At 43.4% G+C, this 18,260-nt stretch overlaps 1 protein-coding gene across 50 annotated transcripts in view; it reads right to left on the bottom strand.

Annotated features, from left to right (window-relative positions):
- HUWE1 (HECT, UBA and WWE domain containing E3 ubiquitin protein ligase 1) overlaps positions 1–18,260 on the bottom strand; it is a 154,624-nt gene that overhangs the window by 41,452 nt on the left and 94,912 nt on the right. For 35 of the 50 annotated variants that reach the window (XM_047441751.1, NM_001441049.1, NM_031407.7 and 32 more), the window contains 14 exons: positions 17,453–17,575; positions 16,857–16,952; positions 16,000–16,269; positions 14,835–14,987; positions 13,235–13,362; positions 12,943–13,024; positions 11,465–11,641; positions 10,639–10,798; positions 10,011–10,369; positions 7,284–7,479; positions 3,353–3,520; positions 2,096–2,241; positions 1,608–1,674; positions 203–417 (listed from right to left, as the gene is read on the bottom strand). In XM_047441751.1, the coding sequence (XP_047297707.1) occupies positions 203–417; positions 1,608–1,674; positions 2,096–2,241; positions 3,353–3,520; positions 7,284–7,479; positions 10,011–10,369; positions 10,639–10,798; positions 11,465–11,641; positions 12,943–13,024; positions 13,235–13,362; positions 14,835–14,987; positions 16,000–16,269; positions 16,857–16,952; positions 17,453–17,575 (2,340 nt within the window). The remainder of the gene's footprint in view (positions 1–202; positions 418–1,607; positions 1,675–2,095; positions 2,242–3,352; positions 3,521–7,283; positions 7,480–10,010; positions 10,370–10,638; positions 10,799–11,464; positions 11,642–12,942; positions 13,025–13,234; positions 13,363–14,834; positions 14,988–15,999; positions 16,270–16,856; positions 16,953–17,452; positions 17,576–18,260) is intronic. The other 15 variants (NM_001441048.1, NM_001441051.1, XM_047441736.1 and 12 more) reach the window with 1 other exon arrangement.

Genomic DNA, 18,260 nt, shown 5'->3' on the forward strand with positions numbered 1-18,260 from the left:
TCCGCCTGCTTCAGCCTCCCAAAGTGCTGGGATTACAGGCGTGAGCCACCGCACCCGGCCTTGCATGTCTGAAGATGCCTCTTCTCACTCATTACTTGGGTTAGCACTTAGCATGCACAGCTTCCCAGCAGTGTCTGACACAGGCGGTACCCAAATGATGGAAGTACAGTGTAACATCTTAAATAGAAGTTGGAAATATTACCTCTTTGATCAGTTCAGACTGGCCCACAGTGTAGCTGTAGTTGGCAATCAGGGTAGCAATACCAACATAGGACCTCACCAACTCTGCCAGAAGACGAAGGATAGTGGAGGTAGGCATTAAAGGTTTGCTGCCCTTGCCTTTCTGTTTGCCTTCCTCAGAGGCCCGGTCCCCTTCTTTATCTTTCTTCCCATCTCGAGACTCCTCTGGAGTTGAAGCTGTTGAGAAAAGTCAAACACTGGTTCAATTCCACACTGGAACACTGGCAAAATCAAGTCTTAGGTGGAAAAGAATGCTATTTCTCCTCCACTTTAAGCCACCTGTACAAACTGAATGCTCTCGTGACACTGCAGTGCAAGAGCAGAGAACCAGGATAACTCAGGTCTCAGATTTATGTGGTTACAGTACAACAGGGATGCTTTGTCCAACTATTTGTGCATCTCCCTCCATTTCCCTCCTTTTACATACTCCAGAAACACTCTACTAACAGTTCTTCAAACTTGTCTTGCTCCCTTACTTCTTTCTTCCGTCTGCCTGGCACACTTTTATCTAGTTCAGCTCAAATGCTGACCTCCTCCATAAATGCTTTCCTGTCTCATCTAGACATACTGTGAGATACTTTACATGTCCATTATATCTTATCCAAGTATGCCTTCATTCTGGCAGTTATCCTGCATTATAACTCTTGCAGGTCTCAGTCACTGGACAAAGTACTTTAAGTACAGGGAACAAATCTGATCCATTTTGGTGTCCAATATAGTCTGCCACATAGTGGGTAATGCTTCCCTTGAATCAGCACCATCATCCACGCTATACACTACATATGGCCAGTAAACCCAGTAAAATGAGTTAACCAATTATTTCACTAATGTTAGCCTTTTAAATTTATCTCCAGGAACTAGTATGATTTTAAACAAAATGTCTCCTAAATTGGATCACAAAGACCTTTCCTATCTAAGGAGAAGCAGCTCTTTAAAGGTCTCATTAGACTTACTCCCAGGGACATTTTTCTAGTTCATGGTGAGTAGTCAATGGGCTCTGTTAACATTGCTGGAAGACAGGCATCCACCACGTAAAGCATGTAGCTAGAACAATATCACTGGCATAAAATCTCTATAAGCCAGTTTTTAGAAACCCCCCAAATAATTATGGTGTGATTTAAAAAGTAAAACTAAAATATGTTACCACAGCAACCATTACTAGGTTGGTTAACTTACAGTTCCATTAACTTTAGCATATAGAGACCCTTTATTACAGAACACTGAGCTCACCTGAGAAAGTTCACTTAGACCAGTAAACGTAATAATTAAGTCTGTATTCTCCTACCCCCTGCACAGGACACCTACAGTTTTTTCAAGTTGTTTTCCTAAGGAATAAGAACATGGTAGTGAGAAAAGCAAATCATTACCCTCTCCTTGGGAGGTCCCAGATGCGGAAGTCTCAGTGGAGGCACCATCTGCAGCAAAGACCTGACTCTGAAGAAGAAGAAAACTCCTGAGCTATTATGAATTTCAAAAGCACCCGTCTGCAAATGGCAGAACTCCTTCCCAGGGCACTGGCTGGGAATGCCACAGATTCTCTTTGGCCAACCTTTTAACCACCTTACACCTTTATACTATAATCTGTGGGAGGCTATTATAAATACAGTGACTGGGAGACTGTGGGGGAGGCGGGGAAGGAAAGGGAAAAGAAAAAAAATTAAAGAACAGTTCTAATCCTAGGAGAGAAAAAAAAGTCTCCAGGGACACCCCAATTTTGTCTTTACAGGCAACAGATAATTTACAGATACATCACAATTAATATCTTTGAAATTCCCCGGGGATAGCCCTAAATACTGAGACCACACAGGCATTGAAAAATGAGAAGAAAGATAAAACGCTGTTGGAATTGACTTACATTAATGGAAAAACCTGACTGCGTATCAAAGTCACTGCTCTGACGCGTAAGTGACCGGTACTGCTGGTATACATCATCACCCATGTCTTGCAGGAGCTGGCCAACCTCTTGGGTCATAACCCCAGGTTTAGGATCAGATTTATCTGCTAGGAAAACAGTAACAACCATCAAAAACAAAATAAACCTCTTCTACAATTGGACAATGTTAAGGCCTATCTAGTCAGTCTTGGTCAATTTCACATCAAGTGGCTATGACTGTTTACATGGTGCTATTACAGATAATGTTAGAGTGCCTCACCCTAAAATTACAAAAACTAGTCTTGTGACCACAGGCAATTAACTTAGTCTCACTTTCCTAAGCTGTAACTACAAACCTTAAGTGAACATACCTGGCACTATTGCTCATGCAGTGGTGGGTCAATAAATGGTTGCCACAGCTATATAGCTAAACTATTTCGGGGAGGTGATAAGAGATAGGGTAAAGATTCTGGGGTGATAGGAGAACCAAGGAATTCTATATGGATCAGGGTTCTGTACAGATGAAAAGCACCAAGGTCAAGACTCAGATTTCTTTTGCTTATTAAAGGCAGCATTCATCAATTTTTGGCAATTCTGTGGACCTATCAAATAAGTATGTCCTGAATAAAATCCAGAAGGACCTTACTATAATGGAAACCTATGTTCCAAGCAAATCAATCATGACTTTCCTAATGCTTATAAGATGCACCTTAACTAGGAATAAAGGTGGATGGGTGTGGTGGTCTCAACAGTTAGGAAACTCAGACACACCTCCTAATATTGCCTCCAGCTCTTCAGACAATAAAAAGGTTTTGCTTGAGTATGAAAACATTAGAGACTTCCTGGTGTCTTATTTTCAACCTCTCACAGAATGCTATTATCTCCTTCTAAATCTTTGTTCATTCTTCCCCCGTATGGTGTGTATTCTCATATAACAGAACTCTGGCAATCTCATCCATTCAAGGTTCATTTTAGAAATCATGTACACAAAGAAATTTTCTTACCTGTGCACCCTCACTAGGTAAGGTGCCTCACCCTAAGGACTTACCACCATCCTGGTATGTCATACTATATGACTATTAGCTTCTTCACAGACATGCAATGGGTATCTTATTCATCTTGAGCCCCAGAGTATGGGCACATAGTGAGTGCTCACTAAGCCATGAGTTGGCTGAAATGACCCAGGCAAAGTAACATATCCTCTAGTGCCCAGCCTCCTGAGGTAGGCTAGCCACATACCTTCCTCTGGAGCATGGTATGCAGCCAGAGCATTCAGCATATCATAGATCACTTCCTTGATAGTATCAGGGATGACAGGCAGAGGTGAGGGCTTCAAAGGGGTGGTCTTCACCAGCTGTACAGCATTAGGGCCTTTAATTCTAAGATTCTCAAATTCATCATCTGAAGCTAAGCCAAAATGAGAGAGAAAAACCAGTCAATCATGAAGCAGTACCTAAACTAGGTTACTAATAAAGACTCAGAAGGGGGCATGTATGATATAGAAGGCTTGAGATAGGAGACCATTTTCAATTAATGTTCAAGTACTCTACTATAAAACCTGGTTTATACTTTCCTTAAATTCCACAGGATTTAATATAGCAGTACCAAATAGTAAAGGCTTGAGTTAGAGAAAACTGGTTTTGAAATCCAGTTGTTAATTCAACAAACCTCAATTTTCTCACTCTCCAAATTTATGTTGAGGATTAAATGAGGATATAACTGAGAAATGCCCAGCACAGGGGCAGGCACATAGCTGGAACTTCCAAAATAATTTCATCCCCTTCCCAACGTTTTATTAAAAAAAAAAAAAAAAAAACTCCCTCTCCCTCCTCTCCCTCCTCTCCCTCTCCCTCTCCCTCTCCCTCCCTCTCCCCACGGTCTCCTTCCATGGTCTCCCTCTGATGCCGAGCCAAAGCTGGACGGTACTGCTGCCATCTCGGCTCACTGCAACCTCCCTGCCTGATTCTCCTGCCTCAGCCTGCCGAGTGCCTGCGATTGCAGGCGCGCGCCGCCACGCCTGACTGGTTTTCGTTTTTTTTTTTTGGTGGAGACGGGGTTTTGCTGTGTTGGCCGGGCTGGTCTCCAGCTCCTAACCGCGAGTGATCCGCCAGCCTCGGCCTCCCGAGGCGCCGGGATTGCAGACGGAGTCTCGTTCACTCAGTGCTCAATGGTGCCCAGGCTGGAGTGCAGTGGCGTGATCTCGGCTCGCTACAACCTCCACCTCCCAGCCGCCTGCCTTGGCCTCCCAAAGTGCCGAGATTGCAGCCTCTGCCCGGCCGCCACCCCGTCTGGGAAGTGAGGAGCGTCTCTGCCTGGCCGCCCATCGTCTGGGATGTGAGGAGCCCCTCTGCCTGGCTGCCCAGTCTGGAAAGTGAGGAGCGTCTCTGCCCGGCCGCCATCCCATCTAGGAAGGGAGGAGCGCCTCTTCCCCGCCGCCATCCCATCTAGGAAGTGAGGAGCATCTCTGCCCGGCCGCCCATCGTCTGAGATGTGGGGAGCACCTCTGCCCCGCCGCCCTGTCTGGGATGTGAGGAGCGCCTCTGCTGGGCCGCAACCCTGTCTGGGAGGTGAGGAGCGTCTCTGCCCGGCCGCCGCCCCGTCTGAGAAGTGAGGAGCCCCTCCGTCCGGCAGCCACCCCGTCTGGGAAGTGAGGAGCGTCTCCGCCCGGCAGCCACCCCGTCTGGGAGGGAGGTGGGGGGGGGTCAGCCCCCCGCCCGGCCAGCCGCCCCGTCCGGGAGGTGAGGGGCTCCTCTGCCCGGCCGCCCCTACTGGGAAGTGAGGAGCCCCTCTGCCCGGCCAGTCGCCCCGTCCAGGAGGGAGGTGGGGGGGTCAGCCCCCGGCCCGGCCAGCCGCCCAGTCCGGGAGGGAGGTGGGGGGTCAGCCCCCCGCCCGGCCAGCCGCCCCGTCCGGGAGGGGGGAGGGGGGGTCAGCCCCCTGCCCGGCCAGCCGCCCCGTCCGGGAGGGAGGTGGGGGAGTCAGCCCCCCGCCCGGCCAGCCGCCCCATCCGGGAGGGAGGTGGGGGGATCAGCCCCCCGCCTGGCCAGCCGCCCCGTCCGGGAGGTGAGGGGCGCCTCTGCCCGGCCGCCCCTACTGGGAAGTGAGGACCCCTCTGCCCGGCCAGCCGCCCCGTCTGGGAGGGAGGTGGGGGGGGGTCAGCCCCCCGCCCGGCCAGCCGCCCAGTCCGGGAGGGAGGTGGGGGGTCAGCCCCCCGCCCGGCCAGCCGCCCCGTCCGGGAGGGAGGTGGGGGGATCAGCCCCCCGCCTGGCCAGCCGCCCCGTCCGGGAGGTGAGGGGCGCCTCTGCCCGGCCGCCCCTACTGGGAAGTGAGGAGCCCCTCTGCCCGGCCAGCCGCCCCGTCCGGGAGGGAGGCGGGGGGGGGGGTCGGCCAGCCGCCCCGTCCGGGAGGGAGGTGGGGGGGTCAGCCCTCCGCCCGGCCAGCCGCCCCGTCTGGGAGGTGAGGGGCGCCTCTGCCCGGCCGCCCCTACTGGGAAGTGAGGACCCCTCTGCCCGGCCAGCCGCCCCGTCCGGGAGGGAGGTGGGGGGGGTCAGCCCCCGCCCGGCCAGCCGCCCTATCCAGGAGGTGAGGGGCGCCTCTGCCCGGCCGCCCCTACTGGGAAGTGAGGAGCCCCTCTGCCTGGCCAGCCGCCCCGTCCGGGAGGGTGGTGGGGGGGTCAGCCCCCCGCCCGGCCAGCCGCCCCATCCGGGAGGTGAGGGGCACTTCTGCCCGGCCGCCCCTACTGGGAAGTGGGGAGCCCCTCTGCCCGGCCACGACCCCGTCTGGGAGGTGTGCCCAGTGGCTCATTGGGGATGGGCCATGATGACAATGGCGGTTTTGTGGAATAGAAAGGCGGGAAGGGTGGGGAAGAAATTGAGAAATCGGATGGTTGCCGGGTCTGTGTGGATGGAAGTAGACATGGGAGACTTTTCATTTTGTTCTGTACTAAGAAAAATTCTTCTGCCTTGGGATCCTGTTGATCTGTGACCTTATCCCCAACCCTGTGCTCTCTGAAACATGTGCTGTGTCCACTCAGGGTTAAATGGATTAAGGGCGGTGCAAGATGTGCTTTGTTAAACAGATGCTTGAAGGCAGCATGCTCGTTAAGAGTCATCACCACTCCCTAATCTCAAGTACCCAGGGACACAAACACTGCGGAAGGCCGCAGGGTCCTCTGCCTAGGAAAACCAGAGACCTTTGTTCACTTGTTTATCTGCTGACCTTCCCTCCACTATTGTCCTATGACCCTGCCAAATCCCCCTCTGCGAGAAACACCCAAGAATGATCAATAAAAAAAAAAAATTAAAAAAAAAAAATAAAATAAAAAAACAAATCCAACAAACCTACAGAAAAGTTCGAATAGTATAATAAACATCTATATACTTTTCATCCAGAATTACCAAGTGACTACTCCTAAATACATCTACTTGTAGCTCCTAAGATCAAGGACATATATTTTCTTTTTTATTACCAAAAAAGTCAGCAGAGGGGAGATCAAGGGTATTTTTATACAGAACTGCAATACCATTATAATACCCCCCAAATTTAACAGATACAATTACATTACCTAATACATAGCACTCAAATTTCTCCAAATCTTTTATCTGGATCCACAGCCCAACCAAGGCTGGTGGTGATTATCTCTCTAGTCTACTTTTCTCTATAAGAAATGATCCTGTATTTTTTCTTTCATAACATTAATATTTTTGAAGAGTCTAGGCCAGTTGTCTTATATAGAACATCTCACAATTTGTATTTATCTAATTGTTTCCTCATAATTAAATACAGGTCAAACATTTCTTGGCAGGAATACACAGATGACGTCTATTTCGCACTGTGTTACACGAGACATACATCCATTTAACCCTTAATTATCACTTGATTTGTAAACCATTAACTATATGTAAAGCCTACTGCCCCACCAAAATGAGCTCTTTGAAGTGAAGGACTAGAATGAATGAGTCCTCAGTGTCTCTGGCAGGGATTACAACAGGGCAAGGCCCAGAGAAGCTACTGAAGTACCTAATAAATTGACCCAAACAATCAATTAGCCAGCAAATGTCCTAATACTTGCCTAAGGAGGCTCTTCAAGTTACAGACCTCCTCATAAATAAATTTCTGGATTTATACCAGGCCACAAACTTAATATCAAAGGCCAGGAGCAAGCGAAACTTACCAGTTCCTGAGCCTCGAGGGGCAGGAAGGGCGATGCGGATACAGCAGTTGGCCACTTCTGTGAATATGTCTGGATTGCGGCATGCGGCTGGCCCAAGGACACGAAGGATGTAGTTGATCTCCCGAGAGCCGAGGCTGCCAGACACAACACCAGAGGTAGTGCTACCAGCTCCACTTGTAGCTGCTGAGCGAACAACCTAGTAAAGAGAGAAAGAAACACTGTCGATTAAACACTACTTTCTAAAAATACAACTGCAGTCAAGAGTTACCAAGACTAAAAGCTTTTGATTTTGGGGAGAATGACATTTTATTTTTAAGTCCCGTCCCATCCCTTCTTGATTCAAAAAACCTGGCTTATAAAAAAGTTGCAGCATGTCTCAAAACTATCAATTATTAGACCAGACTGCATGTGATCTTTATAGAAACTGGGAGATGTGTCAAGACTATAAACCCCACATAACTTCCACATTAAAATGTCAGCTCCTGAGCCTCTCCAAATGCTGTCACAATTTTAAACCAGAATGGTTCAAAAACATGTAACACTGTAATCCACTTAGTGTACAGGAACACAATTAAATATTTTCTTTATGCCTCAAAGTCAACCATCAGTCTGAGATAATGATAGCCACTGGAGATACTGAACTATTTATATATTGTTTGCCTTGATAACACAGGGCTTACATATAGCTATGCTTCTGCTCTTCTCATAAAATTGCTTGTTAATAATGGAAAAATCCATGAAAGCACGAAGAAAATAACTCAATTGTATTATTTTCCATTATCTGTTATTTCACAAACTACATGCTCACAATGAAAAACATCTTTTGGTATCTTAATTTTTTTTTTTTAAACCAAATCAATCATGCCCTTTAGCACATTATACCCTCTGTATCTTGCCTGTCTGGCTGTAATTATAAAATAATTTCCATTTAATAAACACAGAAAAGTTTAATTTCAATATTAAGGATAAGCCATAATTTATCCAGCCCCCAACTGCTGGACATTAGACCTCTAGTTTCTTGATATTACAAGCAATTCCACAGTGAACACTCTTATATATGCATCTTGGTATACTTGATGTTAGTTATCAGATAAATTCTTAGCCATAGAATTTCTAGGTCAAAGGATATCTTAGACCAAGAGTACCAAATTGCCCTCCCATGTGGCTACACCAATTTCCACTCCTACCGAAAGTTAAGAGTATGCCTGGTTTTCCACACCTGTACTAGCAATGAATAGTACCAAGACTTTACATTTTGCCATCTTGATACGTTAAGACTGTCACTGATGTTCCTTTGTTTCCCACACCCCAACTATAATTTACCTAAAGTTAAAACTTTAAAAGTTTTCCCTCATCCAATGAGGACCTACACTTTCTCCTAGCACTTTGAACTTGTAACTTTTAAACATTTCTTTATAGAAAGCGTTTCAAGCATTTCAAGTTTCTAAAATCAGAATTTAGTTGTATATAGTTGTTCCTTCCCTGCTGGGTTATCTCCTGGACTGTGGATCACCATACAAGCTACCTTTAACAGCTCTCTTTCTCTTGATTTGGCACATGTGAGGTGAAATCAAGCAGGCTGTGTAAAGAACTGTCTGAAGAATCTAAAATGTATACTCAGATATACAAAAACTGATACCACTTTTCTGGCAAGCAAGTTAAAAAATACTTGTAATGCCTTTTGATCCAATTACTAAAAATCTCTAAGTAACGATCTTAAACATGAACAAAGTTAGGCACAAAAACGCATATTGCAACACTGCTTATAAATGTGGGAAACAATGTCCCAAGAGAGGAAAACGGAAGCAAAGTCTATTAACAGTCATTATTGATGACAAAGAATCAGCAGAAGAAAGGATTTTGTATTAAGTACTGAGGAGGAAAAGCCTCACTACTAGGACATTTGCCCCTCAACCCTCCACTGTTGTCTTCTTTTTTTTTTTCTTTTGAGACAGAGTCTCGCTCTGTCACCCAGGCTGGGGAGCAATGGCACCATCTCGGCTCACTGCAACCTCTGCCTCCCAAGTAGCTGGGATTACAGGTGCATGCCACCACACCCACCTAGTCTTGAACTTCTAACCTCAGGTGATTTACCTGCCTCCCAAAGTGCTGGGATTAGAGGCATGAGCCACCACACCCAGACTATTGTCTTAACTTTACAAATGTTTTTATTTTTTATAAGTACGTTGCTATTTCTTCCACTGGTTTGTAAGTTTCCTAAAATATAATAACCTGTTTTCTGATCTGCACAATGGATATTTGTTAAGTGTCTATCACAGTGCCTGGCAGATTACAAACATTCAAAAAGCTTTAACTATACTTTTATATTCCAAAATACAGTGTTTTGAGAATAGTCTCTTGGCTGAACACCCGAGAGGTACTCCTACAAAGGAATGATTCTGAAGGTATGAACTTGGGGGAAGGTATCCCAGTTCTTTACTAACGGTTTTTGGCTTGGTTAATGAAACCTAGATTAAAAAAAAAAAAAGAAAAAAAGAAAAAAAAGAAAACCAGATTGCTGGAGAGGACTTTCTAGCAATAGGATCATCCTACCATACCTAAGCAAGCTCCCAAGCATAGAGTTGGAAAATTCTGTTGGGTGGAGTATACAGTATACATATCTAGCTATATACCCTAAGAAGAACCAGAAGTCTATTTGTTCTCAGACCAAGGAGAACATAGGTATGATGTAAAGCTAAACCAGAATCTGATACAAAACACACTCACCTTTTCCATGGTATGACGAAGGGTACAGGGGTCCTCAATGATGTGTCTTAAGAGAAGGGTGACCAGGGGAGTAAACCCATTGAAGCCTGAGCTCTGGGTCAAATTCAAGATCATGCGGGTACTCTTCAGTTCTGCAAACATCATGGCATATTTGTGGTCCCGGGTGAGCCTCAGACAGAGACGAAGGGTGGCATGCAAAGTATCTGGGTCCACAGGGACTCCCAGCATGCTCACGCAGGCCCGGATTAAAACAGTCACCATATCTTCTGTCAAGCCCTGGATCAGGATCTCCCCGATTTTTGTTTCCTCCAGGCTTGTCTCCTTTTCAGTGTTTGTACTCTCTAGGGCCAAAGGGGTATCTATAAAATGGGAAAATAACAGTTTTAGACAGTTTAACTTGATGTTTATTTCCTCCCACGCCTCCCTCCTAAGTAATTGGCCAAGCACTTGGGTCCTATTAAGAGAAGCATGCCAAATACCAATTTTAAGATCAGATGAAAAAGCATAAGGGAGGCCTACGTATCTTTAATCTGTTAATCAAGCTGATGAAAATAACTCACAATGAAATTGGCCAGACCTTAAGCCACAAAGGCACATTAGCTTTAGGTAAAACACTCTTGGTACATACCATTGCCTTTATTTTCTTTACGTTTGATATCCATTTCTTTGCTTTCTTCCAGCGTCTTCTCTAGTTCCTGTCCATTGCTGTTTTTTGAATTTTTATTCAGCCGAGGTACCCTGAGGAGAGTCAGCATCACAGGGCGTCGGTTCCCTGTTTCCTCATTAACCTAGGAATTCAAACAGACATTAAAAAAACCTCTACCAAAAATGAATTATAAAGGTGGGGGAGGGGAGGGACATCTCCCAGGTAAAATGCTACAACAGGAAGGAACTCTGGCAATTTATCCCACCTTTATCATTTACAGAGAAAAAACCTGAAAGTCCCCAGAAGGCAAGTGGCATACACAAGGCCTTATAATGAACTGTAGACCTTCCAACAGAGCAAATACCATCCCTAACCACTCCCTAGCCCTTGACTAAACACTTAAAATCATTTCTAAGAGGGATAGTATCAAATTGCTACAGACCCAAGGTCTAATCAATGACCTTAGGAAGACTCGATTTTCTGAAATCTATACTTAATTAGGTAATGGTAACTCTCCTCCTCCTAACACGTTAGGAATGCTGGTTCAGAAAGAAGAAAACCAAAACACATACCCCTCTTTTTGATAAAGTTTACAGTAGGGGTGTCCAATCTTTTGGCTTCCCTGGACCACACTGGAAGAAGAATTGTCTTGGGCCACACATAAACTACACTAACGATATTTGATAAGCTAAAAAGAACAACGACAAAAAAACCTCAATGTGTGGTGTTGGGCTGCATTCAAAGACATCCTGAGCCATATGTGGCCTGTGGTCCACGGGTTAGACAAGCTTGGTGAGTGAGCATGTACCTGCACCATTGTAGTGAATTGGACCGTGTATCTTCTTCGGCCTGCAGTGAATCGCACGCTTGTCTCTCCAGATTTCCAGGCAGAATCAATAGTGCTATTGTTGCTTGCACTGTAACTACACCAACGCCCAGAGCGATCATCAAACCAGCGCCAGTTGTTGCTGTTGGATTGCAGGTACTAAACATAAAAGTACAAAGTTTCTTTGTATTTCTTTCAAGGTTGATTAGAAGAAATAGTAACTTCATCAGTGTTCACTGCTAAAACTCACCCAGGAAAAAGAAATATACTGGACAATAAATTTTAAAAACCAAAAGAACATTTTTCATATGCATTTACTCTCACATTCCTTAGTCTCTCTGCTACACGCTTAAAAACATGTCTTCTAAAGTTCAGGTGTTGAAAACTTAATCCCTAATTTAACAGTGCTGGGAGGTGGGGCCTAATAAAAGATAATATTAGGTCATGGGGACTCCGCCCCTCATGAATGGATTAATGTCATTATCCACGGACTGGGTTAGTTATTGTGACTGGGTTGGTTATAAAAGCGAGTTTGGACACCTCTTGCTCTTCCACCTTCTGCAATAGAAGGATGCAGCACTAAGGCTGTCACCAGATGTGGTCCCTTAGATCAGCCTCTAGAACTATGAGCCAAATAAACTTGTACAGTTTATATTAAATATTTTTTTTGGAGACAGGGTCTGACTCTGTCACCTAGGCTGGAGTGCAGTGACGCGATGCCGGCTCGGTTCACTGCAACCTCTGCCTCCCAGGCTCAAGTGATCTCCCCACCTCAGCCACCTGAGTAGCTGGGACCATAGGCACACACCACTATGCCTGGTTAATTTTTGTATTTTTTGGAGAGATGGGGTTTCACCATGTGTTGCCCAAGCTGGTCTTGAACTCCTGAACTCAAGTAATCTACCTGTCTCAGCCTCCCAAAGTGCTGGGATTACAGACGTGAGCCTACAGTGCCCAGCCTATGGTTTATAAATTAGTCCGTGGTATTACGTTATAGCAACAGCAAAACGGACTAAGATACTTTTCCTAGACAAAAAAACTATCTACAGCCCCTTATCTTGCCATTTTCTACTTTCCTTTTGTTTCTACTGATTTTCCCTAAAAGGGGAATGTTCACCTGAGATGTACTGAAACAAAAATTCTGTTTCCAAGAAGGTAGTGAGATGATGTGGCACAATAATCTTCATCTAAGGAGTGTTTGCTTTTTGGTAGGATTGCTGTATACTCAGTCCCTTACATAACAGAAAAGCCGCTCCTCCTCTGGAGATAGCACACTCCTTCAAAATTTACTTCCAGAGTAAATTATTCAGAAGAGAAACCTAGCTATGAAAATCCCTTAAGAGATTTATACATTGGTCAGAGACTTCTATATTCTTCACTACTCTCTCATATTCTCTTCTGGTCTACTCTTGCCTCAGGAAGCTAAACCGTCCTGCAGTCATACATACTACATTACACACCTTAGTCATCTGGGCTCTCCTTTTTGAGGAGATGGCTGTCTTTTCATAGAAATCAATCAGGAGCAACACTGGTGTGATCCACCTAAAAAAGAAAAATGATCTGTTTTGGGAAAGCAAGAAACCTGCACAAATTGGGAAAATATATCTTAATTTCATCAGATGCTTCCTTTATAATTTTAAAACTACAGAAGTACCACAAATTTGCCCCATACATGCCCCAGAAGAGTGCCTGATTCAGGCCCATGTCCCAGGGAAATAGAAACGAAACTAGGGTAGATATAGGGTTACTCACTTTGGGGTCTGGACTTCCTTCTGCTCCTTGGCTGCCTGGAGGCAGGGCTGAACCACTTCCAAGAGTTTGATTAGGACATTAAGGATGCCACTTGATTCAACCACCCAAGCACAAGGTAGCTTCAACTCCTGATAGATCAAAGGGAAAAAACAACAACAACCAGATACCAATTTCTACTCAGTAACAAAGATTAGCATGGGATAGGGGAGGGGAACATAAGGGTAAATAATAATAGAATTGGTTGAGTTCAAATTTTACCTCTTACCATTTACCAGTTGTGTAATCTAAGATGTGTTAAATTTTCTAGGCTTTGGTTTCCTCATGGGTCAGAGGAAATAATTTTTACCTGCAGAATAATTGTGATGATTGAGGTTTTATATATATTAATATAAAGTACCCAGTGCCTGGCACTAATGTATATGCTTAATATGGAAATGGTTTATCACCAAGGTTGTGCAGTCTATGTTGAAGTTGTAAAGCTTTAGATTTACAGAGAAATTTTATAATCTTTCAAGGAAAATGGAATAATTAAACACAGTTAATGGTTCGTCTTACTGGGGCTACACCAAAGTGTTACTTTTAACAGGAAATCACTGGAAGTAAATGTCCAAGGATAGGTAATTATTTAAATAAATTAGAGAACATTCAAAAGATGGACTAATGTATATAGCAAATGGGAAAATAGTCATAATACTTAACAAAAAGAATATAAAACTTTCTATACAGTCTTATCCCAATTGCTTAAATGAACAGGAAAAAACACTAAAAGAAAATACAAGACTGTTACTTGTGATTTGTTTTAGATGGGGGTCCATGAATGATTCTCTCTTTAGTACTCTGAAACCTTTCCCACAAGTATCTATTTACAAAGTGCTACAGTAAGAGTTATCACTTCCATGATAAAGGAAACCCCCAAGACAGCTGTTACACAGTTTGACTCTTATATTGGATTTATCCCCTGAGTTTGCTGTATGTAAAGGGTTCAGTTCATTAAGTTCAGGTTTTAAAGATAATGAGCCACAAATGAAGTCATTTGTCCAAGGTCAATTGCCTCCTAGTTCCTACGTTGGTTGGATCAGGTCTTGCCCAAACCACTCTCTTGCCTCAAATAATCTGCTGACTAAATAGGCAAGGAAAAGAGAGAGGAATCTGATTTCATCTAATGTCTATTACCTCAATATTGACCACATCCAATTTGCATACCCTACTCTACTATGTGGCTGCCAGTTAGGTTTCCTCAGAAGAGCAAAAAATATTCTATGACCAAGCTCTGTTAGTAATTTAAATACTTTTTTTTTAAACTACCACCTCACAATTCTGACTCAATTCAATTAATGCTTGTTCTCAGAAGCCCTTCTCACATGAATCCAAAGTGATGCATATGACTTTCCTAAACCCAGATAAAACTGTTATCATTCTAACACAGAATGCTGTATTTTATACGTAATTATATGCATTTCAGCCTATCAGAAACTGGGCTCATGAAATGCAGGACTCATGCCTTATTCTTCGCTTTATCGTCTTCAATGCCTCATATATGTTAAGTGTTTGATAATTCTTTCATGAATGAATTACAAGGCCCCAAAGATCTAAATCTTACCTCAAAAAGTAGCGTTAAAAGCAAGATTCTAGTAGCCAAATTGGAGGCCTGGGGCAGTGTGGCCATCTGACTTATCCACTCTGACACGGTTTTTGTGTCACTTGTTGTCAGGGGAAGAGCAGCTTTGATCAATACATCAGCAGCTTCCCACACCTAGAAAAGCAAAAAAAGGGTTAAGTCACGGAACCGCAGAGCAAGATGAGGTTTCTGAAAATATTCTCAACCTTTTAAAATACTCCCTCTGCCTCCAACACATTCACTAAAGAAAGGTAGGTAAATCTAACATATTTACCATAGGGATTTAGAATCTATATCAAAAGATGTATGCTACTAAAGGATCACCACTAAACAATTACTTTATTAGGCTAGACTATAAGCAGCCTAAAATCTAAGTTAAAGGAAATGAGTATTTTAAAACTTCCTGGTGCATACAGTCAACCCCAAAAAGGTTCTATCAACTTATACTTCCATCAGCAATCTTTCATTTTATCTCTCTCTCTCAGAATTATTGTTAAAAAATAGACACTAAAACTTTCTGTGAAAAAATGTTTTATCCAGTTTTCCTTTACTTGTGTTCTTGTGCATTAAAGTTCTATTTTACAAAGCCCAGAAAAAAGTTTTCCCTTTTTTAATTTCTTTCCCTGCTTCTAGAATGAAACATTACATAAAACAAGATTCCAGTAACTTAAATACAATCGAAATGTTAACTGGCTATCTGGGTGTGGGGATTTAAGGTAATTCCTTTCTTATCCCACTTCTATAATTAGCATAATTTCATAATGAGAGAAAAGAAAAAGAGGACAAATATCAGGTCACAAGTATTCATCAGGATGGGGACTCAGTTGTTCAAGCGGCTGTTACATAGGAAAAAACATTTATTCAGTATTAGTCCAGGGGACGAACCTGACTCAAGGGTGAGGCACATTTTAGACATTTTAAGAGAAAAGTAGAAAAGGAGAGCTTTGTTTTTCCCTTCTAAAGACATTTTTGTGTGTGCGATGTAGTTAACACACTGTTTCAGGATTACCAGATCGAAAGAATCCAAATAGAGAATATACCCATATCAGGTAGAATGAAAATATGCTGATTTTTCAGAAATCAGGTTTTGACACAGGCAGGCAAACCACTTCACATACTCCCCTCTTCTGACCCCTTGAGAGCTCACCTGATTGACTACTTGCTTCAGAATCATGTCACGATAATCTGCTCCATTACGTTTGATTGCTGTCATGATCAGGTCACACACACGGTATACTGTGTCTGGCAGCTCATCAAGAAGGTGGAAGCAGCCTGGCAACATAGTATCTGTGAAAGTGTGGAGCTCATCTTGTTCCAACGGGTCAGCATCCTGGAACTTCTCTAGACATTTAGCCTCTTCCTCCTCCTGCTTTTCCCGAGCTTTCCGTTCCTCTTCCTCCTTCCGGCAAGCAACTTCCTGGAAGCAGGGAAGGAAGTGTGAATAATACACAGGAGAGGTGAAGGAGGAAAGATAAGAGAGACTCTGAGAATGTTTTTGCTCTACCATATGATTACCCTCAACCTTCTCCTCAAGCGGTTGATACTTTCATCCAGGATGTGGCAGCCACAAAGTTTAAGGCAAGACAGGGAAGGTAGAAGGGAGGGATGCTTCAAACAACTTTCACTGTCAAGTCACTTGTAGCATTCTATACTACCTCCCGCAAAATCATTTCTAGACACTGTTCTATATTCTGTGCCAGCAGGGAAAATTAAAGTAACTGTCACCTAGAAATATACAGCCAAGTTCGGCCTAATGGCACTACTGAGTACACATTGGGTCTCTTATTTGACAATAAAGATTAACGCTTCATATGCCTCCCTTAAAGCTTCAGGTCAATACAAGGTAGCTCAATAATGGATGGCAAAGCTGGGATGAATTAGTACTCTTCTCATGTCTTCCTTTAGATTTGAATTCTATCAATTAGTTTGCAATACTAGCAGAATGTTCACAGAATACTAAGATTCATGTGCCAAGCCCTTTAGGATGCAGTGTTCCATAGTTACCTCAGGTGACTCTGCCCTTTGATCCATTGGAATATCCTGTCCCAGAGACATAGCAATTGCTCTCATCATCTGGTCCTCTTCAGACATGCTGAGATCCTAGAGTGTTAAGAGAATATCCAGTAAGGATACACACTCAAAACAAAGAAACCCAACAAGACCACTGCAACTCACAGGCAATCAGACATCTTGTGCTCAAGCTAAAGAGAGAGGAAGGGCCTCAAAATGCTGCTCTTGTATAAGTCAAACCCTATCAGGCTTATGTGGTTACTACAAACAAGAACAGATGAGGAAAATCACACGTAAAACTAAGTATAGGAAGGAGGCTTACAGTGTGATCATCTATTCTACATCTTAGAAAAGTGTGCCTCTTCTATTGTTTTGTGACTGGGGGTTCTTGTGCAAACAAAGTATAGTAATTTGTATTGCTGGGGGACAGAAAACTTCTGTTATTATGAAAAGAAAATACTGGCATGGACATGTCTGAAAATGAGAAGCAGTTTATAGAAAGGAAGACCAATGACAGAATAATAAGGGGAAAAAGGACTTCAGCAGTCAAACCAATATCCTGGAAAATCACTGCTTCTGAGCCAACTTACCCGAACAACTCCTCCCATGATTGGAGGAGGGTGGGTTAAAAGGTACTCTGTGGCCTGCTCCATGGTGCTGGTGTTCAACAGTGCCTCCATTGCATGTTCCCTTGTGAAGCCCATGTCCATGAGCTACATAAAGAATGCAAGGGCTCAGAATCACATAACGGAAATCCAAATACATTTTTAAAAGGAAGGAACCTTTTCAAGATGGAAATAACTTTTTCTAACTTCATCTGGGCTGAGAGCATTTATGAGCTAGGGCAATTAGGTAAAATGAACAATCCTTTCTGTTTGGTGCTTCTATAGCATTCTAAGCTACACATTGGGTAAGGAGCCAAGAAGATTCTCGATTTCATCCTCTAAGAAAGTTAGGGGGGGATGCATGGTTATTATGATTAACAGGGTTATTATAATTAAAAGATTGAGACTCATACAAAGAAGTATAAATTGGTCCCAACTTTCTGGAAAACAAACTGGTAACAGAGCAAGTGCCTGAAAAACTGACCTAGTTAATCTACTACCAGGCAATAATCATGAGATGTATGTAAGGATTGGTACGTAAGGAAACTATACAACACAGTGTTAAAACATCAAACTGTAAGAAAATTAGCATCCAACAATAAAAGAATGACCAATTAGTAAAAAAAAGTTCTTGATAACAGCAATACAAGTATATGTATTATTTGATGTTAACGACGTAAAAATTAGGCACAAGACTGACTGAAAAAGGAGACAATGACTATCTTGTGTGATAAAATTACGAATGCCTTTTAAAAGTCTTGTATTTTCCAAATTTGGTAATGAGAGTATTTAT

Source organism: Homo sapiens, chromosome X, assembly GCF_000001405.40.
Source record: "Homo sapiens chromosome X, GRCh38.p14 Primary Assembly".
Lineage (NCBI taxonomy): Eukaryota > Metazoa > Chordata > Mammalia > Primates > Hominidae > Homo > Homo sapiens.